The following is a 23093-nucleotide window of genomic DNA, read 5'->3' as shown; positions in this document are numbered from 1 at the left end:
AAGGTCTGGGCACGGTGGCTCACGCCTGTAATACTAGCACTTTGGGAGGCCAAGGTGGGCAGATCATGAGGTCAGGAGTTTGGGACCAGCCTAACCAACATGGTGAAACCCCATCTCTATAAAAAATACAAAAATCAGCTGGGTGTGGTGGCACATGCCTGTAATCCCAGCTACTCAGGAAGCTGAGGCAGAAGAATTGCTTGAACCCGGGAGGCGGAGGTTGCAGTGAGCCGAGATCACGCCACTGCACTCCAGTATGGGCAAGACAGCGAGACTCTGTCTCAAAAAAAAAAGCAAAAGTCAGGCTGGGCACAGTGCACAGTGGCTCACGCCTGTAATCCCAGCACTTTGGGAGGCGGAGGCGGATGGATTACTTGAGGTCAGGAATTTGAGACCAGCGTAGCCAACATGGTGAAACCCCTTCTCTACTAAAAATATAAAAATTACCCGGTGTGGTGGCAGGCACCTGTACTCCCAGCTACTAGGGAGGCTGAGGCGTGAGAATCCCTTGAGCTCAGGAGGTGGAGGTTGCAGTGAGCTGAGATCATGCCACTGCACTCCAGCCTGGGCGACAGAGCAAGACTCTGTCTGAAAAAAATAAATAAATAAAAGCAAAAAGCATGCAATGCCACAATGCAACAGAAAGACTTGCAACAAACTCTTCAGGTCACTTGCATTAATTATCTATGTATTCCTTCATGACATCTTAGTACACTGGGATTCTAAAAATAGACAACATGTTATAATTATGTTTAAATACTCTATTTATAAACTAATAGGAAGGAAAAAAGCCTAACTAAAGGGGCAACTACTATTTAAAGAATTAACCCCAGATAGTGTCCTAACAGAAGTACTTTATTATGAATGGCTTCCACTTTCCCTTTGTATAAAGAAGAGGATGCTGCCTCACAGAAAATCTAATTTAAGGCAAAATATCAAAAATATGTAGAAGTCACCAATACTGCAAGACCACAATAATAAGCACCACAGTAAATCGACTATATGGTTAAAAATAAATGTAATGAACACTCTTCACCCATAAAGGAACCACTGAGTTAATGAAAGCCAACTTCACACACAATTTTAACAAAGCTGAGTATTTAATTTTCAAGCCCACAGTTGATGGAAGGTGGAGATCAAAATGTCATTTTGCAGGTAGGTGAAGAAACTGAAGCTCAGAAAGATAATTGGGCCAGAAAGTCCAAATTTTTCTAACCTAAGAAGTTTACATACTTATACACTCCTGACAGCAGGAGCACTCCTGACAACTGACTGCCTAGAAAAGCCTTAAAAAGGAAACCAACAATTCAAATGCGCAGAATCCTACTACAAGACCCTATAGGATCTCAGAGCATCAATAATTCTGAATCATAAAGAAATAGTCAAACAATGTACAATGAACTCTTGTTTAAGACACAGAACCATGTAATTTGTTACAGAAATAATTCTGTCCCAACTCGTTAACATAAAAAAAAGGGGAGTGCTAAAACGGGTAAATTTTCAGGATATATTAAAAACAGGAGAGAAGCAGCCATTCTAAATGTATCTTTTCTGGATTTTATAGCACGATTTCAAAATTTATAAAATGTTCACCCCCCCACCCGTCATTGTTACAAAGTAGCAATTACCGGCCATCCTGTTACCAAATGGGAATACACAAAGACAAAAACGTGTGTGTGACCGACACACACACACACTCACTCTTTTTTCCTGGTTTTAACTACTGAAAGTTAATATCAGGCCCCCCTAATTTCTAAAACATCTAATTGTTCTTTGGACAACTATGTTAGTACCAAACTATAAAAGCAAATACTTTTGTATTTGTGTTCACTACTGCAAAATGTTGGTTACACACAGAAAGGGCTATCGTGGAAAGAAATTAAAATCAATGCACAAAATGGTGCTTTTATAGCATTTCCAAAACGATTGTGCATACTCCTTGCCAGCACATCTAGACTTTGCTCCTTAAGACTAAACATGAGCTGGCCGTGCGCGGTGGCTCTCGCCTGTAATCCCAGCACTTTGGGAGGCCGAGGTGGGCGGATCACGAGGTCAGGAGATCGACCATCCTGGCTAACACGGTGAAAACCCGTCTCTACTAAAAACACAAAAAATTAGCCGGGCATGGTGGCACGTGCCTGTAGTCCCAGCTACTTGGGAGGCTGAGGCAGAAGAATCACTTGAACCCAGGAGGCGGAGGTTGCAGTGAGCCAAGATCGCGCCACTGCATTCCAGCCTAGGCGACAGAGCGAGACTCCGTCTCAAAAAAAAAGACTAACCAAGAACCAAATTAGCATACTTCCCCTTCAGGCATACTGAGCCCCGAAATCATCATCTTCCTCCTAAAGAGTAATTATCTCCTCCTAAAAGGCCTGCGCAGCTCACAGCTCCTCCGAAACACGGGGGAACTTCGCGAGAGCTCAAGACCCTGGACTTGAGTTTTAGAAAAATGCTTAACAAAGTGGCCTCTGCCACTTAACTGCACGACAGCCACTGTGCTGTGAGAGGAAAAGGTCGAAAGAGGAGGAAAGCTAGTCTTCAATTTTAATCCCTGTGATTCAGGCTCTTCGCCCGTCACTCTCCAACCCTAGCCTGACAGGACGTCAGGCTGTCTCCCCCTTCCCCACCAGTCCCGCCACCTACCCCGCAACAGTGCTGAGTCTTAGGATTTTGAAGCTTTAAAAATCAACCCGGCTCCCTAGAGTTCAGGCCGCAGTCGCTGCCGCCATGTTACAGCTTGTGCGGCAAAATGCGTCAGTGAGGGAGGTGTGCGCCTGAGTGGGGAGGGCGGGGGCTGGCAGAGGAAGGACCGTCCCCAGGCCCCGGGGCTCGACTGCAAGCCTTCTCCTTCTGCAACAGCGGCAAAGGCACTGCTGCGGTCCTCAGGGACTTCCTCTGGGCCCAAGCAGCCCCGATACCTCGAGGGAAAGACGGTAAACCCAACCCGGTCAGCCGCGCCGGCTCCGCCCCTCTTCCCAGGCCCTTCCCGCTTTCGTACGCAGGGACTGCTGAAATGACGCCGCCAGAACAACTTGAGCCTCATACCACTTACCTGCACCGGTAGAGTTTTCCTCTTCTCTGGGTCCGGTCCTTTGAAGCGCTTCAAATCTACCGCCGCCAGAAAAGGCGCTAAAGCCCGCTAACCGCCTCCCTCCCCCACAACTCAGTCCTGGCATGGAGAGACAGCGTCGCACCGGAAGCGCGTCAGGAGTGGGTTGTCAGCATCGGCCAGCGTTCACCTGCTTGCGTCACCACGCCCTCCTAGGACTTCTAGGATTTTGGTGCCTTTTAAATTCCTAGTTTATAGGTGGCCTAATGCTTTGTGGATGCGTTGACTGGGAACGCTTGTAACCGTTAAAATGCCATATCCTTTGTGAAGTAAAGTGCCTCATTTAATAAACATTTATTGATCTTACGCTAGGTTATCAGAAAGGAAGGCCTACCTTCATGGAGCTTCCAGTTAAGCTTCCACTTAACGCTAGGATATAAGTTCTAAAAACGCAGTAATGAGCAAAGTGTTATTTGAGGAAAGAGGAAGAAATTACAAAGAGCTTTGATGTTCTTTGTTGTTTTACAGATAAAGAAATTGAGGCTCAGGGAAGATAAACGCCTCCTCCTCAAACACACTGTTCTTGAATGCCAAAGCAAGTCTTTTGATGCCAAATCTAGTGCCTTCTAGAGAAAATATGGCATATATTATTTAATTATTTTAAGGGGCAAGGGTCCCCGGATTATGTTAGAAATAAATAACCATTGCTGTTTGGGCGGGGGGGTGGGGGGGGATGGGCAGTGATTCTGGTAGGGATGTGGGGTGTGTTTTAAAGGAACTAGCTAACTAGAGGACTTAAATTGTTCTGTCGTTTAAAGGCAACGTAAATTATGATCATTTAAATTTTTCACTCACTTGCATCAGGTAAATTAATTATCAACAACAGTTAGGCATGTGGTGGTGCTTCTAAGGGGCGTGACCAGTTTTACACAGCAGTAAAACAGAGGACATTTCTGCCTCTCCACCCCCACCTCTTTTAAGTCATTGCCCTTTATTGCAGGAGAGCAGCAGCATATTCATCTTTAGATAGTTCAGAGATTAAACGGATTTACACTTCGCTGTGTGTGGAGGGGACAATTCTGCAATACCTTAAAACAGGGGTCCCCAACCCCTGGGCCACAGACTGGCCTGGCTAATTTTTTGTATTTTTAGTAGAGACAGGGTTTCTCCATGTAGGTCAGGCTGGTCTCAAACTCCCAACCTCAGGTGATCCGTCCTCCTTGGCCTCCCAAAGTGCCGGGATTACAGGTGTGAGCCACCACGCCCGGCCAACGCTTTTCGAAAGAAGACATACTTGCAGCCAACAATCATAATGAAAAAGCTCAACACCACCAATCATCAGAAAAATGCAAATCAAAACCGCAGTGAGATACTATCTCATACCAGTCAGAATGGCTATTATTAAAAAGTCAAAAAATAACAGGTGCTGGTGAGGTTGTGGAGAAAAAGGAACATTTTACAGTGCTGGTGGGAGTTTAAATGAATTCAACTATTGTGGAAGACAGCGTGGCGATTCCTCAAAGACCTAGAGGCAGAAATACCATTTGACCCAGCAATCACATTACTGGGTATATACCCAAAGGAATATAAGTTGTTCTGTTATAAAGACATACACATATGTATGTTCATTGCCACACTATTCACAATAGCGAAGACATGGAGTCAACCTAAATGTCCATCAATGGTAGACTTGATAAAGAAAATGTGGTACATATACTCCATGGAATACTATGCAGCCATGAAAAAGAATGATCTCATGCCCTTCGCAGGAACATGGATGGAGCTGGAGACCATTATCCTTAGCAAACTAATGCAGAAACAGAAAACCAAGTACCACATGTTCTCACTTATAAGTGGGAGCTAAATGATGAGAACACATGAAGACATAGAGGGGCACAATACACACTGGGGCCTATCAGAGTGTAGACAGTGGGAGGAGGGAGAGGATCAGGAAAAATAACTAATGGGTCCTAGACTTAATACCTAGGTGATGAAATATTCTGTACAACAAACCCCCATTACACAAGTTTACCTCTGTAACAAACCTGCATATGTACCCCACAACTTAAATAAAAATAAATAAATGGAAGGATACTGTATGTATAGTGTATATAATAAACAACATTTGTTATCCTATAGTTTCCTTATATATATTTATATATATATTTATTATCCTAGTGTGTGTATGTATACATATACTATATATGTGTATATATACATATATATACACACACATATATGTACGTGTGTGTGTATATATGTGTATATATATATAAATAAGTGTTGTTTAAGCCACTAAGTTTTGGGATGATTTTGTCACACAGCAAGGGATAACTGACACAGAGAAGAAAGAATAGACTGATTATCACGGAACTTTTCACTTGTCTAATTCTACATAGCTTCATTTTTTTTCTTTTTTTCTAGAGACAGGGTCTCATTATGTTGCTCAGGATGGACTTGAACTCCTGGAGTCAAGCGATTCTCCCACCTTAGTCTCCAGAGTAGCTGGGACTACAGGTATGTACCACCTCACCCAGTGATGACCTCACATCATAAGGATCTGAGTTTCTGCCAGCCCGAATCATCAAATGCCAGAGAAGTATTTTACTAACATAGCAGTAACAGCTCCAAAATTTGTACTCCCACTTACATAGTAGGGGGTGTCACTGGAAAGTGTCTGTTCTGCTAAGAACTACATTTTTTAGCTGTCCCCTTGTATCTTAGTGGCTTGAAACAACATTTATTATCCCATAGGTAAGGATTTAAAAATGCTTTTTGGGGCCGGGCGTGGTGGCTCATGCCTGTAATCCCAGCACTTTTGGAGGCTGAGATGGGTGGATCACGAGGTCAGGAGTTTGAGACCAGCCTGGCCAAGATGGTGAAACTCCAGCTCTACTAAAAATACAAAAATTAGCCGGGCACAGTGGTGGGCACCTGTAATCCCAGCTACTTGGGAGGCTGAGGCAGGAGAATCGCTTGAACCCAGGAGGTGGAGGTTGCAGTGAGCCAAGATTGCACCACTGCACTCTAGCCTGGGTGACAGAGCAAGACTCCATGTCAAAATAAATAAAATAAAATAAAATAAAATAAAATATAAAATAAATAAAATATACTTTGTGTCAGTGGAAAGTGAGCGGACATCCAGGCCAAAATGTTTGTGAAGTGCTATGCCTTCTCCATTCCCTCTCTTCCTGTTTTGTCAGCTGAACCAGAATGTTTTAAGGCCCTGGGGAAGGGCCTATGGAAAAGGTCTACTTCCCTGAATCTCTGTTTGGAGAAAAGTCCTCTTCCACTGACTAGGGATATCCACATTGGAATGTGGTGTGACTGATAAATCAAATTATGTGGGTTAAATCACTGATGTTTGGCTTTATTTGTTACACCAGATACCACTACCAATCTAATAGGCTGTGAGCCTAAAGTATTAGATTTGGCCTAGCCTGGATCACTTCAGTCATTGTAGTATGAGGAATGGGATTTGATACCAGAAGAAGGGAGGTAGGTTGGCTGGGCTACTGCAATTAACCTTTACTTTACCTGTGACTTTTGCTTTAGAGTAATAAAACTTTTTGTTTCTACCCATAGATCAACAACAAACTGTTGTTTGTTCTATTAATAGTTGTCTACTGTATCACCAATAATATGTTTAGTTTTTTTTAAAAGCATGCCATTCTCTGATTGTGATGGATCAAGGAAAAAACCAGACACTTCCATAATCTTGTTTCAGACAAAAACAAGAACATTGTACAAACTGTAAAAACGACCAAACATCGGCCGGGCATGGTGGCTCACGCCTGTAATCCCAGCACTTTGGGAGGCCAAGTCAGGCGGATCACAAGGTCAGAAGATCAAGACCATCCTGGCTAACACGGTGAAACCCTGTCTCTACTAAAAATACAAAAAATTAGCCAGGTGTGGTGGCAGGCGCCTGTAGTCCCAGCTACTTGGGAGGCTGAGGCAGGAGAATGGTGTGAACCTGGGAGGTGGAGCTTGCATTGAGCTGAGATCGTGCCATTGCACTCCAGCCTGGGTGACAGAGTGAGACTCTGTCTCAAAAAAAAAAAAAAAAAAAAGACGAAATATCCATCTATCCTTGCTAATATGAATGGCTGCTGTTTCTTTATCAATTACAGCTTTAACCTCAGTTCATTCTTCCTGCCTTCTAGATCAAGATTATTAGAATAGAATTACCCTTGCTTACTCACAGCATCCAATCTAGAGAAACCACTCTAAAACTCTCCAAAATCACTTAACACAAGGCTAAAAAAAATTTTTTTTTTCGAGACAGAGTCTCGCTCTGTTGCCCAGGCTGGAGTGCAGTGGTGCAATCTTGGCTTATTGCAACCTCTGCCTCCCGGATTCAAGTGATCCTCCCACCTCAGCCTCCCAAGTAGCTGGGATTATAAGCATGTGCCTCCATGCTTGGCTAATTTTCGTATTTTTAGTAGAGATGGGGTTTCACCATGTTGGCCAAGGTGGTCTCGAACTCCTGACCTCAAGTGATCTGCCTGTCTCAGTCTCCCAAAGTGCTGGGATTATGGGTGTAAGCCACTGTGCCTGGCCAAGACTATATGCTATAATGACAACTTTCTAACACCTTCTTATGGAGACACCTCTTAGGGTACAGCCTACTTCATTGCAACCAGTCAATAAACCCAACTTTGTTTAACTATATGTGTTCCTGGTGTTTTTTGACTGGAAGGCAATGACTTGGATCATGCTGTTTCATCTCTATGTTTTTCTTACATTTGTTTGAAAACCCCTTCTATGCTGTGCATTCAGATTACCTTCATCTCAGATCTATTATCAGTTGATCTAGTTCCAAGCAACCCAAATCAGTGCTGTATAAAATTATTGTCTGGGATTAGTGGTTGTCTAAAGTATTGGAGGACAGGAGGGGGTGAGGGAGACATGGGGAGTGACTGCTAATGGTTACAGGGTTTCTTTTTGGAGTTATGAAAATGTTCTAAATGTGAGTGATAGCTTCTCAACTCTGTGAATATACTAAAAAGCCATTGAATTGTACACTTTAAATGGGTGAATTTTATGGGACGTAAATGAAATCTCAGTAAAGCTGTTTAAAAAAAAAAAAGTGTGGGCTGCCAACTGTCAGGAAGTGAGCATCCAGAAGCTAGACGTGTCCCAGCTGCCCAATTGCGTTTGCTGCATTGGCATCATTTGCTACAGGCATGAGGTTGGGTGCAGGCAGTTGTCTGAGCTCTGAGGCATGGACCACTGGACAGACTGACTGATAATGGTGGACTCCCACAGGCTCTGCCAATCATGCAGTCACTGCCGTGGAGCCCAACTCTGTTGGCATTCTGGCCATGACTTTCAAGATTTTTTTTCCTTTTTGCGGGGTTTATGGTTAATATTTCTGTGGGGTTACATTTTTCCTGTAGATTACTTCTCCAAAGTCTGATGTTAATGTCCCGTGAAGACAGTGCCTTTTAGTGGCCATTATTGCAGTGGTCGGGCTTCACCTGGTGTTGGTAATTTATGTCTTCATAGTGTGGAAGGAGGGCTTGCCTCAGTGGTGGGAAAACAAAACTGAATAGAGCAGCTTTTCCTTTGGAGTGGCAAACGTGGGGGGTAGGCAGGTACCTAAAGGGTTTTTCTTTTTGTCTCTTGTTCACATTAAATGTGATTTACCTCCCACCCCCTGAAAGGTGGATGGGGAGGACAATTAAGTATTTACCGCAGCTAAGATTTTAGAAAAAATGAGGATGGGGAGGGTGACATTTTTCAACCATCTGTTAAGTGCCAAGTGCTTTTTGTTAATGACATATTTTTGACTAAGGATCATGTTTGACTGATGTAATTTTTTTTTTTTTTTGAGACAGAGTCTCACTCTGTTGCCCAGGCTGAAGTGCAGTGGTGCAATCTCGGCTCACTGCAACCTCCGCCTCCCAGGTTCAAGCGATTCTTCTGCCTTAGCCTCCTGAGTAGCTGGGACTACAGGTGCGTGTCACCACTCCCGGCTAATTTTTTTTTTTTTTTGTATTTTTCAGTAGAGACAGGGTTTTGCCGTGTTGGCCAGGCTGGTCTAGAACTCCCAACCTCAGGTGATCTGCCTGCTTCAGCCTCCCAAACTGCTGGGATTACAGGTGTGAGCCACGGTTCCTGGCCTGGCTGATGTAAATATTAATGCAAAAATTGGAAGCTAAGATGAAAGTAACACTAATTAGTAGGAGTAGAATTTATTTCATATTAAAATGTATTGTGGTGTAATTTTTTTGTTGTCGTTGTTGAGACAGAGTCTTGCTCTGTCGCCCAGGCTGGAGTGCAATGGTGCCATCTCGGCTCACTGCAACCTCCGCCTCCCGGGTTCAATTGATTCTTCTGCTTCAGCCTCCCAAGTAGCTGGGACTTCAGGCATGCACTACCATGCCCGGCTAATTTTTGTATTTTTTTTAGTAGAGATGGGGTTTCACCATATTGACCAGGCTGGTCTCAAACTCCTGGCCTTGTGATCCATCCACCTCAGCCTCCCAAAGTGCTGGGATTACAGGCGTGAGCCACCACACCCAGCCTGTGTTGTAATTTTTATGGCTTGGCTAAAGCAACAGTTTTCAGAGTGCACCCTCCTTGGTGCTACTCACAGAGATGTGATGTGCTGTTGCTGCTTTCTAACTCTGCCTACTTTGTGACCTCTTAAGAGGATGAAGTTGATAAAGTAAACCAGTGTCAGTGGCTAAGTCTAGAAGACCTAGAAAACATAGGAATAGGTCCTGAACCTATTGCTCTTGCGATTGCACTGCAGACATCAAGAAGCAGGTGGCTATTTCCACACATTGAGATCTATAATTCGCAATCCCGAAGATGATGGAAAAAATACCCCTTGGTGCATTGCAGAGATGCTACAAATCACCAAGCAAGCCATGGGATTGGCTGTACCTTTAATTGAGAAAAAAAACTTGAGAAGAAGAGCAATAAAACTCACGAGGACATCATTGGTATCAGATCTCAAAACCACGGCTCTTTGGTTGAGGGAAACAATTTTTTAATGAGTAAATGTTCATCTCCAAACCAAAAAGTGAAGTAGACCGTATTCCCCAATGTAAATATTGGCAACCTAAGAAAGCTAGGAAATTTTACAAGACTTGAAACGAAAGTTAACTTCTTTTTTTCTTTTTTCTTTTTTTTTTAAGACCCAGCTATCAGAGACTTTCTATGTCTTAGCAGCCTCCTGATAAAGGAAGTCAAATGACCAATCAAGTTTTTAGTGAAGAAATCCAATCAGGCCAGGTGCAGTGGCTCACGCCTGTCATCCAAGTACTTTGAGAGGCCAAGGCTGGGGGATCACTTGAGGTCAGGAGTTTGAGACCAGCTTGACCAACATGGTGAAACACCTTCTCTACTAAAAATACAAAAATTAGCTGGGCATGGTGGTGCATGCCTGTAGTCCCAGCTACTTGGGAGGTTGAGGCAGAAGAATTGCTTGAACCCAGGAGGTGGAGATTGCAGTGTGCTGAGATTGGGCCACTGCCCTCCAGGCTGGGTGACAGACTGAGACTCCATCTCGAAAAAACAAACAAACAACTATTTTAGTTTTGATGGCTTAACCATTCATTCCCTATGTCTTCATGGTTAATTGAAGGTTACTGACAGTAGACAAAAAATGTATTCTCATTTGACTCTAATTTTTCCCATATTCTACTTGAACAAATTTAAAATGTTCTGCTGCCTATACACCCCGACATCTAGGAGTATTAAGACTAGTCAGTCATAAAATAAACCTGATACATCAGATGAATGCCAGCACCTATTCAATTTCGTTTTGCTCTGTTTTCAGAAATGTCAGAATAAATATATATTGGTTACTGGACATTCTAGAAGGAAGTCTTCAAGTTTTAATTTTTTTCCAGTGTGAGCATGCCTCAACATTTTGCATAGACTGTCAGAACTATTGAAAATTTAGGCTGGGCAAGGTGGTTCATGCCTCTAATCCCAAGCACTTTGGGAGGCTGAGGTGGGTGGATTGCTTGGGCCCAGGAGTTCGAGACCACCCTGGGCAACGTGGGGAAACCCTGTCGCTACCAAAACTACAAAAAGTTAGCCAGCTATGGTGGTGTGCACCTGTAGTCCCAGCTACTCGGGAGGTTGAGGCAGGAGAATCGCTTATACCCAAGAGGCGGAGGTTGTAGTGAGCGGAGATTGCACTACTGCACTCCAACCTGGGAGACAGAGTGAGACCCTGTCTCAAAAAAGAAAAGAAAAGAAAATTGTGCTAAAACTGGTTTTATGACAATAACCATGACCACATAAACCAAGAGTCTCCTCTGTAACCCACACAATAAGAAAGTTGCCCCCTCTCCCTCTCCCTCTCCCTCTCCCCACGGTCTCCCTCTCCCTCTCCCTCACGGTCTCCCTCTCCCTCTCTTTCCACGGTCTCCCTCTGATGCCGAGCCGAAGCTGGACTGTGCTGCTGCCATCTCGGCTCACTGCAACCTCCCTGCCTGATTCTCCTGCCTCAGCCTGCCAAGTGCCTGCGCGCTGCCACGCCTGACTGGTTTTCGTATTTTTTTGGTGGAGATGGGGTTTTGCTGTGTTGGCGGGGCTGGTCTCCAGCTCCTAACCGCGAGTGATCCGCCAGCCTTGGCCTCCCGAGGTGCCGGGATTGCAGACGGAGTCTCGTTCACTCAGTGCTCAATGGTGCCCAGGCTGAAGTGCAGTGGCGTGATCTCGGCTCGCTACAACCTCCACCTCCCAGCCGCCTGCCTTGGCCTCCCAAAGTGCCGAGATTGCAGCCTCTGCCCGGCCGCCACCCCGTTTGGGAAGTGAGGAGCGTCTCTGCCTGGCCGCCATCCCATCTAGGAAGTGAGGAGCGTCTCTGCCCAGCCGCCCATCGTCTGAGATGTGGGGAGCGCCTCTGCCCCACCGCCCCGTCTGGGATGTGAGGAGCACCTCTGCCCGGCCGCGACCCCGTCTGGGAAGTGAGGACCGTCTCTGCCCGGCCGCCCCGTCTGAGAAGTGAGGAGACCCTCCGCCCGGCAGCCGCCCCGTCTGAGAAGTGAGGAGCCCCTCCGCCCAGCAGCCGCCCCGTCAGGGAAGTGAGGAGCGTCTCCACCCGGCAGCCACCCTCTCCGGGAGGGAGGTGGGGGTCAGCCCCCGCCAGGCCAGCCGCCCCGCCCGGGAGGGAGGTGGGGGGGTCAGCCCCCCGCCCGGCCAGCCGCCCCGTCCGGGAGGGAGGTGGGGGCGGTCAGCTCCCCGCCCAGCCAGCCGCCCCGCCCGGGAGGGAGGTGGGGGCGGTCAGCCCCCCGCCCGGCCAGCCGACCTGCCCGGGAGGGAGGTGGGGGGGTCAGCCCCCCGCCCGGCCAGCCGCCCCGTCCGGGAGGGAGGTGGGGGGGTCAGCCCCCCGCCCCGCCAGCCGCCCTGTCCGGGAGGTGAGGGGCGCCTCTGCCCGGCCACCCCTACTGGGAAGTGAGGAGCCCCTCTGCCCGGCCACCACCCCGTCTGGGAGGTGTACCCAACAGCTCATTGAGAACGGGCCATGATGACAATGGCGGTTTTATGGAATAGAAAAGGGGGAAAGGTGGGGAAAAGATTGAGAAATCGGAAAGTTGCTGTGTCTGTGTAGAAAGAAGTAGACATGGGAGACTTTTCATTTTGTTCTGTACTAAGAAAAATTCTTATCCTGTTGATCTATGACCTTACCCCCAACCCTGTGCTCTCTGAAACATGTGCTGTGTCCACTCAGGGTTAAATGGATTAAGGGCGGTGCAAGATGTGCTTTGTTAAACAGATGGTTGAAGGCAGCATGCTCCTTAAGAGTCATCACCACTCCCTAATCTCAAGTACTCAGGGACACAAACACTGCAGAAGGCCGCAGGGTCCTCTGCCTAGGAAAACCAGAGACCTTTGTTCACTTGTTTATCTGCTGACCTTCCCTCCACTATTGTCCTACGACCCTGCCAAATCCCCCTCTGCGAGAAACACCCAAGAATGATCAATAAAAAAAATAAATAAATAAAATAAAAAAAAGAAAGTTGCACAGCATATTCCAACAAATATCAGTTTGGTACCTTTAGAGCCTTACTTTGTTGTAGTGATTATCAGCTGAAAATTATGTCTGTTGTAACTTTGGTAAGCATTCCACTTTGGTTATTTATTAGTGGTATTTTTTTTTTAAGTGTCAAGTGTCAAATCTTGGGACTATTAAAATACCATGGTAAGTAAAAAAAAAATATGGTCTGAGAACTGGTACCTATCCACGACATAAGTGCAGAAACTGAGAGTATGAGTTTGCATACTTTCAAAGTTACTCGACAGAGTTATTTCGTATATGCTAAAAAATAATAAGAAAAATCTGTACGTGTCTTTTCCATGTTTACATTTTTAAATTTCATTTTCCTAAGTATATTTTTGTGTATATTATAAAAGTAGTAGACTTCCAAGGACTAGGAGAACAACCTTAGATAGTAGAGAATCACCTAAACGACCTATATCTTCTTCAACAGCTTAAGCTGTGTACTGCGCTAGAGCCTCCCTCAATGAGGAACTACAATGCCCAGAATTCCCCCAAAATGCGTGAGCGACGTCCATTTCACCCACCTCGCCGCGACCCACCCTGGGATATGTAGTGCGTGACTTCCGCAGTGCACGCTGCGCCTGCCGGGCATTTTTTCCTGGTTTGGGGGCAAGGTCTCATGGGAAAGGTCATGTCTCTCGAAGAAAGGTTATAAACCCTGAGATATGAGGGTTGGGCGAGACATCCGAGCCTGTTTCGTTCCGTGTTGGGACCAGGAATAACCCTGACTTCTGAGCTTTCATAACCCCAGGATCCTCCAGAAAATTTGCGGCGCGCTGAGGGAAAACCTTGCTGGCAAGTCGGGACTGTGTGGCAGCGGCTATTTTTCTTTTCCCACCCAGCACGTTTTCGGGCTGGGGACATAGGGTTCAGTTGAGATACGGAGGCTTCCTTCGGGATATTGGGTTCTCTGAAGTGCGGATGGACTAGGGCAGGGCTGAGACCCCATTCATTCACTCATTTGTTTAGCTCTCCTTTATGCCCGGCGCAGAAGATACCCCTTAGGGTCCCAAGGCCCTTCCTGTAGTTAAGTTCCTTCCTTAAGGTCATTCAGCTGGGGCAAAGCTGGGGACTCGACACCTTTCTATGCTAACCATTGAGCTGCCTCCACTTTGAGCAGCTCAGTGGATGAATATAGTATCTTGAGGATACCTTTGATTTGTGCAGGGTTTTCTTGTGCAGGTTTGTGACCCAGGTCAGCTTAGGTCAGGATGCTGTACTGCTTGCCACAAAATAGCCTGTACTGTCGCGTCGTTTTTTCTTGTGAACAGACTGTTTGGCATAGCCGTAGAGAGGGGTCTGAGACATGAATTTAGTGATACAGCGTTGATTTGTTTGTGTAATGAAGCTGTTCAAGTGGAAAGAACTGAGTTGTAGTCCCTGCTTCACTAGTACTAGAAGGATTTTTTAAACCTTTTTGAACCTATTTTGCCTTATCTGTAAAATGGAAATAATATCAACCTGGAAGGTTAGCTGAGAGAATTTAATGAGATAATGTGTTTCAAACGTTCTTTGTAAATGGTAACATGTTGCAGAAATATTAGATTATATGACTTTAGTCCCTGCTTTTCTAACCATTACTTCTCAATTATAAATGTAAACATTTATAGCATATTTTTAAAACAAATTATTCTTTTTTCATAATTATCTTTAGTTCTTTTATTGTTTCAGCATGACTTGAAACATTACTTAATTTCTTAGTATTTCTTGATTGGTGCTTTAATTGTGTCGTTCATTGGTTAAAACCTATCCAAGGCCAGTAATGATTAAATTATATGACTTCTTTTATTTATTTATTTTCTAAAGAAAGGAATTATTTGAGCTCTTTAAGGGCACAAGAAAAAGGGGCAAGAAATTATCCTGAAAGCAAATAAACCTGAGACCATACTTCTGAAAAATTAAAAAAAAAAAGTATATATATATGTATGTATAAATATATATGGCTCTGAATTAATGCCTACACTTTTTAGAAACTTTGAAGGTGATTATTTATTTTAAACAATTTTCCTCTTTTTCGAAAAGACAGCTCTGAGTTTGTGGGCTTTTTTTTTCCTTTTATGGTAAATTTGAAAACTTTATGTAAATGTCAGATTTAAAACACTTTTAAAATGGGGTGCAGAAAGAAGCCCCTTTTTCTGGACATTTATTTTTTGATCAAATTCTGCTATCTGGTTTAGACTAAGAAAAAGTCTTTAGTTAATGCAGAAAAAATGTATTACTTTAATTTGAATTTTGGAATCATTTTGATATTAATGATGTAAGCATAACCATGTTAAACCAATTCTTTTATAGAAGCTGTACATTGGAATGCGTTTACAGTCATTGTAATGGAAGCAAAATACATGAAGGAAAAACTGTTATTTGTATCCCTGCTTATTGCACCTGACGACTAGTTGCAGATGGTTTTGTTTACCTAAGAAAACTTGTGATATAAATGAAAAAAACACCTGTTTTCCTAGAGTCATTGGTTACAAATATGCTTCGTCTAAGAGCTATTTGTCCATTCTCCTGGAGAGTGTTTCAATTTCGACCCATCAGTTGTGAACCACTAATTATTCAGATGAATAAGTGTACAGATGAGGAGCAAATGTTTGGTTTTATTGAAAGAAACAAAGCCATACTTTCAGAAAAGCAAGTGGGATGTGCATTTGATATGCTTTGGAAGCTTCAAAAGCAGAAGACCAGCCTGTTAAAAAATGCTGAGTATGTCAGAGACCATCCTCAATTTCTTACTCTTCATAATTTAGCTACAAATAAATTCAAATTAATGAATGACGATACCCTGGTGAATGTGTTATACGTCACACAACAGTAAGTAATTTACTTTTATATTTTATGGAATGATTATATAGTTTACATTTTAATTTTCTAAAAATCTCTTTATTTTCATTTTATTTATTTATTTTTGAGGAGTCTCTGTCGCCCAGGCTGGAGTGCAGTGGCATGATCTCGGCTCACTGCAAGCTCTGCCTCCCAGGTTCACGCCATTCTCCTGCCTCAGCCTTCCGAGTCAATGGGACTACAGGCGCCTGCCACCACGCCCGGCTAATTTTTTTGTATTTTTAGTAGAGACGGGGTTTCACCATGTTAGCCAGGATGGTCTTGATCTCCTGACCTTGTGATCCGCATGCCTCGGCCTCCCAAAATGCTGGGATTACAGGCGTGAGCCACTGTGCCAGGTCTAAAAATCTCTTCAAAATGAAAAATAATTTTTTTCACCAGTAGTTTTCCTGATAATCTAATTTTTTTGTTTTGTTTTGTTTTGTTTTGAGGCGGAGTCTTGCTCTGTCACCAGGCTGGAGTACAGTGGCACAATCTTGGCTCACTGCAACCTCCGCCTCCCAGGTTCAAGCAATTCTCCTTTAACAACTGTAATACTATTGTTAACTGTGGGCATTTGAAATTGGATTATTGTGGAGTTTTGTGAAAATGTGGTTGGCTGCAGATGAGGATATAGTAGGTAAGCAGTTAGATTTAAGATTAATGCCAGTCGGGTGTGGTGACTCACACTTGTAATCCCAGCACTTTGGGAGGCTGAGGTGGGTGGATCACCTGAGGTCAGGAGTTCAAGACCAGCCTGGCCAACATGGTGAAACCCTGCCTCTACTAAAAATACAAAAATTAGCTGGGCGTGATGGCAGGCACCTGGAATCCCAGCTACTCTGGAGGCTGAGGCAGGAGAATCTCTTGAATTCACGTGGTAGAGGTTGCAGTGAGCACAGATCATGCTACTCTACTCCATTCTGGGCGACAGAGTGAGACGCTGTCTCCAAAAAAAAAAAAAAAAAGTAATGCCTAATAACAATCAGCAATTAGTAAATTTTGTCTGTGATAACTTGTTTGCAATCTCGTTATTGTAATTAAATGGACGGCACATATGTTTTCTAGGGGGTATTGGTACAATAGGTTGTTTCTCAATAATAGCCCTTAAAAGGAAAAAGAAATAAAATGATTTTGTAGATTCATTTATATTTGATAACAATGTTATACAAATTATGTGGATGGTTGATAGGTATTACGTAAAGAAGGGCTTCCTTGGTGTCAGTGGAAAAACTCAGAGATAAATGTTAAGAAATATTACATTCCAGTTTTGGGATTTGTGAAGAAAAAATGAAGAGAGCAAAGAAAAAAGGAAAAAAAATAAAAAGAAATATGTTGTTTGCAAGGAAATCCAGCCTTCAAAAGAACTGGGTTCCCTGAATGAAGGCTTCAGCAGTTGTACAAGGGGGAAAAAACAAAAAAGTTACACCTAATCTGTTTATTAGTCTCACTGATGAAAAAGAGCAGTTTTCTCACATGATGACCCAACCTTCAGGGGTTATTTAAATGGCTGTAAATATCAGCATTACGTAAGTTAGAGACGTGTAAGTTGTTTTTGTAAGAGAATTGGCATTTATAGGAAAGGGGCTTGGGGCTTATATTGGGGATTGATGTTAAACTGAAAAAGGATGATTCCATGTTTTTTGGTGGCCTTTCTCAGGTTACAAAGTTGTTTTCTCTGAGGTACTTGAAGGGGATGCTTAAAGTTTTGTGAATAAGGTGATTGGTGACTATTAGCTTTTTAATTTTTTTACAAACATTTTCTTATAAAAATATTTTATTTATTTATTTATGAGGTGGAGTCTCACTCTGTCACCGAGGCTGGAGTGCAGTGGTGCAGTCTCGGCTCTCTGCAACCTCTACCTCCAGGGTTCAAGCAATTTTCCTGCCGTAGCCTCCTGAGTAGCTGGGATTAAAGGCACATGCCACCACGCCCAGCTAATTTTTGTATTTTTAGTAGAGACGGGGTTTCACCATGTTGCCCAGGCTGGTCTCGAACTCCTGACCTTAAGTGATCCGCCCGCCTCAGCCTGCTAAAGTGCTGGGATTACAGGTGTGAGCCACCATGCCTGATCAAAAGTATTTAAATCAGAACAAAGACATATTATATGTACTTTTAACATAAATATATTGTTGAACATTATCATTGGTCAGTAGCATGGGTATTGAAATAAGCAGATAAAAGGGTGAGAGGGCATGGGATAAAGTATAGATGTTTATTAGGCTGTACCAAAAAATCAGAATATTGAAATAAGAGTGGACCAGAAATAAGGACTGCCTGTATAAGAGGAAAATAACTTGAGTTTCACTTTTGCATTATCATTCGTATTGCATATGTTTTTAATGATTTTAAAATGATTATGTATGGAGGATTCTTTCTTTTTTATTAAGGTTTGCTGGTGAGGCCCATGACCCGCTAGTTGAAGCACTAGTTACAGAAGCATGGAGAAGGCTAGAAAGGCAAGTACCCTGGGTTCATCTTGAAGATCAGGGTTATTCTTTTCAGGGTTAACAGAGTGAAATCTTGAAGGGAAAGAACAGGGAACTGATGCCTGTCAAGCTTCACTGAAAAAAATGTATTTAAACTCAGTTTAGTTTTAAAGTTTTTGATTGTGTAATGTGTTGTTGTTTTTTTTTTTTTTTTTGAGATGGAGTCTCACTCTGTCGCCCAGGCTGGAGTGCAGTGGCGTGGTCTCAGCTCACTGCAACCTCTGCCTCCTGGGTTCAAGCAATTCTCTGCCTCAGCCTCCTAAGTAGCTGGGATTATAGGCACCCACCATGACTCAGGGCTAATTGTTTGTATTTTTAGTAGAGATGGGGTTTCACCATCTTGGCCAGGCTGGTCTTGAACTCCTGACCTCGTGATCCACCTGCCTCAGCCTCCCAGAGTACTGGGATTATAGGCGTGAGCCACCGCTCCCAGCCATGTCTTTTCTTTTTTCTTTTCTTTTCTTTCTTTCTTTTTCTTCTCTCTTTTTCTGTCTCTCTTTTTTTTTTTTTTTTTTTTTTTTTTTTAATGGACAGGGTCTTGACATGTTGCCCAGGCTGGTTTTGAACTCTTGGGCTCAAGCAATACTTCCTCCTTGGCCTCACAAAGTGCTGGGTTTATATGCATGAGCCACCATGCCTGGCTGTGTATTCTTTAAGAGAGAAAAGAAAGTATTTCATATTTTTCCTCTTTAAGAGTGGGGAATAGTATACTTTTCCACACATGTAATTAGTTGAAATATAAATAAGATAGAGTCACAGCTATTCATGAACTAGCCTTTTTGAATCTTCTTTTCTAGAAGAATACTTCAGAAAGGAAAGATTCTTGATTAATTGGCTATCAATAAAAACCTAGAAGTGCAGGAGCCAGGAAAGGAGAAAAAAAGAGACCCTAGTTTATTAGAGAGGAAGGCCATTTAACACTGTTTAGGAGCATCTGTAGCTACTTGTCTGTTACTCCATTTTTAAGGAGAGGCAATGACCAGAGCTTATAGGTGACTTAGAAGCTTTTTAAAGAAAGTGAGTTTCAGGTCCACTGCTGTGGACAGTATTAATTCAGATATATTTCCTATATTGTACACAGCTCTATTTTCAGCATGTTGCCTTACTTGATAATCATTCAGAAAAATGGGAAATCTTGTGAGTACAGAGAAATTTATTCTCTAATTATATATCAGAAGCTCTTTATTTATAAAAGGGCTGAGATAATAGCAGACTCATTTTGGGAAATCTTCATCTATTTCTGAAAACTTTGAATTTTTTAATCTAGGAACTCTGGATGATTGTAGTCTATTGTTAGTGGAATAAGGCAAATGTTAGGGAGGAAAGAAAAAAATCAGGGTGAGGAAGAGATAGGAGGATATTAAAAACTACAGAGCAACTCTCCCTCTAAATCAAATGGAAACCAGACAGGAAAGTCTTGACTAAGATGAAGGAGAAACAACAGGCTATTTATTTGTAGACAGAGAGGAGCGACCATTCTGATTTTTAAAATATTTTTAACATATTGCCTCTTAAAGCTTAAACTATAATAAATACTTATATATTGGTAAACTCTGTAGGCCTTTATTACATGGGCTGGATTAAATTAAGGGACAGAACAGTTCTCCAGATTTAGAAATTCTGTATTAATCTACTAAGTTGTGATTTTAAGTTAATCTTATTAGCTAAACCCATCTGTCTTCTTTTATACTCTCTACCTATAAGTATATTGAGGGTAAGCAGAGTAATCTTATTCCTTTTGCTAACAGTACAAATTATCTATTTACTGGATCTTTGGGGTTAGATTTGTTGATAATAGGTCACAACATTTTATTTCTCTTCAAAGCAAGGATACGTTATGTGTATTATGCAGCTTGAACAAATCACTTGTAAAATAGGTGGTCTTTTGTGTTTTATAATTACTGTATTAATTAAATTACATGTATGATTGTATTTTATAGTGAATCAAGCATTTCTTTTAAATTTTTCTTTATTTCAAAATAACTCAGAAGTACAATGATCTTGCTAAAATATCTATAAACTTATGTTTTTTTTTTTTTGAGACAGAGTCTCGCTCTGTTGCCCAGGCGGGAGCGTAGTGGTGTGATCTCAGCTCACTGCAAGCTCCGCCTCCTGGGTTCAAGTGATTGTCCTGCCTCAACCTCCCAAGTAGCTGGGACTACAGGCACCTGCCACCACACCTAGCTAATTTTTGTATTTTTAGTAGAGACAGGGTTTCACCATATTGGCCAGGCTGGTCTCAAACTCCTGACCTCGTGATCTGCCCACCTTGGCCTCCCAAAGTGCTGGGATTACAGGTGTGAGCCACTGTGCCCAGCCTGTTTTATAAATATAATTTGTAATGATTTAAATGGGGTAGATTATTCTGGATTAGTACTATATGATGAATCATGGCAAGGATAATTAACATGTATTTGAAATCCATATATATTTTTTTCTTTTGGGATAGGGTTTGGCTCTGTTACCCAGGGTGGAGTACAGTGGTACAACCAGGGCTCACTGCAGCCTCAGACTTCCAGGCTCAAGCCATCGTCCTATCTCAGCCTCCCAAGTTTCTGGGACCACAGGTGGATGCCACCACGCCCAGCTAATTTTTATATTTTTAGTAGAGATGGGATTTCGCCATGTTGCCAGGTTGGTCTTGAACTCCTGGGCTCAAGGAATCCTCCTACCTTGGCCTCCCAAGAAATCCAAATTTTTTTTAAAAAACTTTCTATTATAGAATATTTTTAACATTTACAAAAGGAGAAAGAGTAGTACAACGAATTCCCATGTACCCATCCTCCAGCTTCAACAATTGTCAACACATAGCCAGTCTTGTTTTATCTATATCCCCTCCCACTCTCAGTATACTTCAGTATATTTTAAATAATATCATTTCATCTTTAAATACCTCAGTATGTTTCTCTAAGGACTTTTTAAAAATATAGAACCAGCTGGGCGTGGTGGCACACGCTTGTAGTTTCAGCTACTCAGAAGGCTGAGGTGGCACAGCAAAGGATACAATCAACAAAGTGAAGCGAGAGTACACAGAAGGGTAGAAAATATTGGCAAACTACCCATCTGACAAGGGATTAATAACCAGAATATATAAGGAGCTCAAACAACTCTAATTAGGAAAAAGTCTAATAATCCAATCAAAAAATGGGCAAAAGATTTGAGTAGAGATTTCTCAAAAGACCCGTGCAAATGGCAAACAGGCATATGAAAAGGTGCAACATCAGAAAAATGCAAATCAAAACTACAATGAGACATCATCTCACCACAGTTAAAATGGCTTATATCCAAAAGACATGCCATAACAAATGCTGGCAAGGATGTGGAGAAAAGGGAACCCTGCACACTGTTTTTGGGAATGTAAATTAGTATAAGCTCTATGGAGAACAGTTTGGAGGTTCCCCCAAAAACTAAAAATTGAGCTAGCATGTGATCCAGTAATCCCACTGCCTGGGTATATACCCAAAAGACAGGAAATCAATATATTGAAGAGATATCTGTACTCTTACGTTTATTGCAGCACTGTATACAATAGCTAAGATTTGAAAGCAACATAAGTGTCCATCAACAGATGAATGGATAAAGAAAATGTGGTGGCTGGGCGCGGTGGCTCACGCCTGTAATCCCAGCACTTTGGGAGGACAAGGCGGGCGGATCATGAGGTCAGGAGATCGAGACCATCCTGGCTAACAAGGTGAAACTCCGTCTCTACTAAAAATACAAAAAGTTAGCCGGGCGTGGTGGCGGGCGCCTATAGTCCCAGCTACTCCTGAGGCTGAAGCAGGAGAATGGCGTGAACTCGGGAGGCGGAGCTTACAGTGAGCCGAGATCGCGCCACTGCACTCCAGCCTGGGTGACAGAGCGAGACTCCCTCTCAAAAAAAAAAAAAAAAAAAAAAAAAAAAAAAGCCTGGTGTGGTGGCTCACGCCTGTAATCCCAGCACTTTCGGAGGCCGAGGCGGGCTGATTACCTGAGGTCAGGAGTTCGAGACCAGCCTCAACATGGAGAAACCCTGTCTCTACTAAAAATACAAAATTAGCTGGGCATGGTGGTGCATGCCTGTAATCCCAGCTACTCGGGAGGCTGAGGCAGGAGAATTGTTTGAACCTGGGAGGCGGAGGTTGCAGTGAACCGAGATCGCGCCATTGCACTCCAGCCTGGGGCAACAAGAGCGAAACTGCGTCTCAAAAAAAAAAAAAAAAAAGAAAAATGTGGTATATATACACAATGGGGTAATATTCAGCCGTAAAAAAAATGATATCCTGTCATTTGCAACATGGGTGGAACTGGAGATTATTATGTTAAGTGAAATAAGCCAGGCACAGAAAGATAAACGTCGCATGCTTTCACTCATTTGTGGGAGCTAAAAATCAAAACAATTGAACTAATGGACGTAGAGAGCAGAACGATGGTTACCAGAGGCTGGGAAGGGTAACGGGCGATTGTGGGGGAGGTGGGGATGGTTAATGGGTAAAAAAAAATAAAATGAATAAGACCTACTATTTGACAGCACAACAGGGTGACTATAGTCAATAATAACTTAATTATACATTTTAAAGTAACTTAGAACGTAATTGGATTGTTTGTAACTCAAAGGATAAATGCCTGAGGGAATGGATACTCCATTTTTCATGATGTGTTTATTTTGCGTTGCATGCTTGTATCAAAATATCTCATGTACCCCATAAATATATGTACCTACTATGT

The 23093-nt window shown here is 42.9% G+C and overlaps 2 protein-coding genes across 15 annotated transcripts in view, besides 5 other annotated features; one reads left to right on the top strand and one right to left on the bottom strand.

Annotated features, from left to right (window-relative positions):
• PPIG (peptidylprolyl isomerase G) overlaps window positions 1-3192 on the bottom strand; it is a 57056-nt gene extending 53864 nt beyond the window's left edge. For 2 of the 4 annotated variants that reach the window (NM_004792.3, XM_017005302.3), the window contains exon 1: window positions 3053-3192. The gene's annotated coding sequence lies outside the window, so the exon portion shown is untranslated. Of the gene's footprint in view, window positions 1-2643; window positions 2744-3045 lie in introns of those variants that run through there. The other 2 variants (XM_005246967.2, XM_005246966.3) reach the window with 2 other exon arrangements.
• Window positions 3227-3276: an enhancer, noted in NCBI's record as "active region_16741". NCBI's record gives its function as "activates an Ori minimal core promoter by ATAC-STARR-seq in GM12878 lymphoblastoid cells {active_cell/tissue: GM12878}" and the evidence as "EXISTENCE:reporter gene assay evidence [ECO:0000049][PMID:35858748]".
• Window positions 13467-13566: an enhancer, noted in NCBI's record as "active region_16740". NCBI's record gives its function as "activates an Ori minimal core promoter by ATAC-STARR-seq in GM12878 lymphoblastoid cells {active_cell/tissue: GM12878}" and the evidence as "EXISTENCE:reporter gene assay evidence [ECO:0000049][PMID:35858748]".
• Window positions 13467-14096: a biological region, named in NCBI's record as "H3K27ac hESC enhancer GRCh37_chr2:170429982-170430584".
• Window positions 13469-14071: an enhancer, noted in NCBI's record as "H3K27ac hESC enhancer chr2:170429982-170430584 (GRCh37/hg19 assembly coordinates)". NCBI's record gives its function as "activates a minimal SCP1, AML or CMV promoter by ChIP-STARR-seq in primed H9 embryonic stem cells {active_cell/tissue: H9 hESC(primed)}" and the evidence as "EXISTENCE:reporter gene assay evidence [ECO:0000049][PMID:30033119]".
• FASTKD1 (FAST kinase domains 1) overlaps window positions 13678-23093 on the top strand; it is a 45358-nt gene continuing 35942 nt past the window's right edge. For 3 of the 11 annotated variants that reach the window (NR_104020.3, NM_001281476.3, NM_024622.6), the window contains exons 1-3: window positions 13678-13874; window positions 15372-15890; window positions 18291-18359. Coding sequence is in view for 9 of the 11 variants with exons in the window: in NM_001281476.3 (NP_001268405.1) it covers window positions 15514-15890; window positions 18291-18359 (446 nt within the window). In the remaining 2 variants the exon portion in view is untranslated. Of the gene's footprint in view, window positions 14548-15371; window positions 15891-16374; window positions 16540-18290; window positions 18360-23093 lie in introns of those variants that run through there. The other 8 variants (XM_047445831.1, NM_001322046.2, NM_001322049.2 and 5 more) reach the window with 5 other exon arrangements.
• Window positions 13927-14096: an enhancer, noted in NCBI's record as "active region_16739". NCBI's record gives its function as "activates an Ori minimal core promoter by ATAC-STARR-seq in GM12878 lymphoblastoid cells {active_cell/tissue: GM12878}" and the evidence as "EXISTENCE:reporter gene assay evidence [ECO:0000049][PMID:35858748]".

The sequence above is a fragment of the Homo sapiens genome, chromosome 2, assembly GCF_000001405.40.
Source record: "Homo sapiens chromosome 2, GRCh38.p14 Primary Assembly".
Classification (NCBI taxonomy): domain Eukaryota; kingdom Metazoa; phylum Chordata; class Mammalia; order Primates; family Hominidae; genus Homo; species Homo sapiens.
This window is presented reverse-complemented; position numbering and strand designations above follow the sequence as displayed.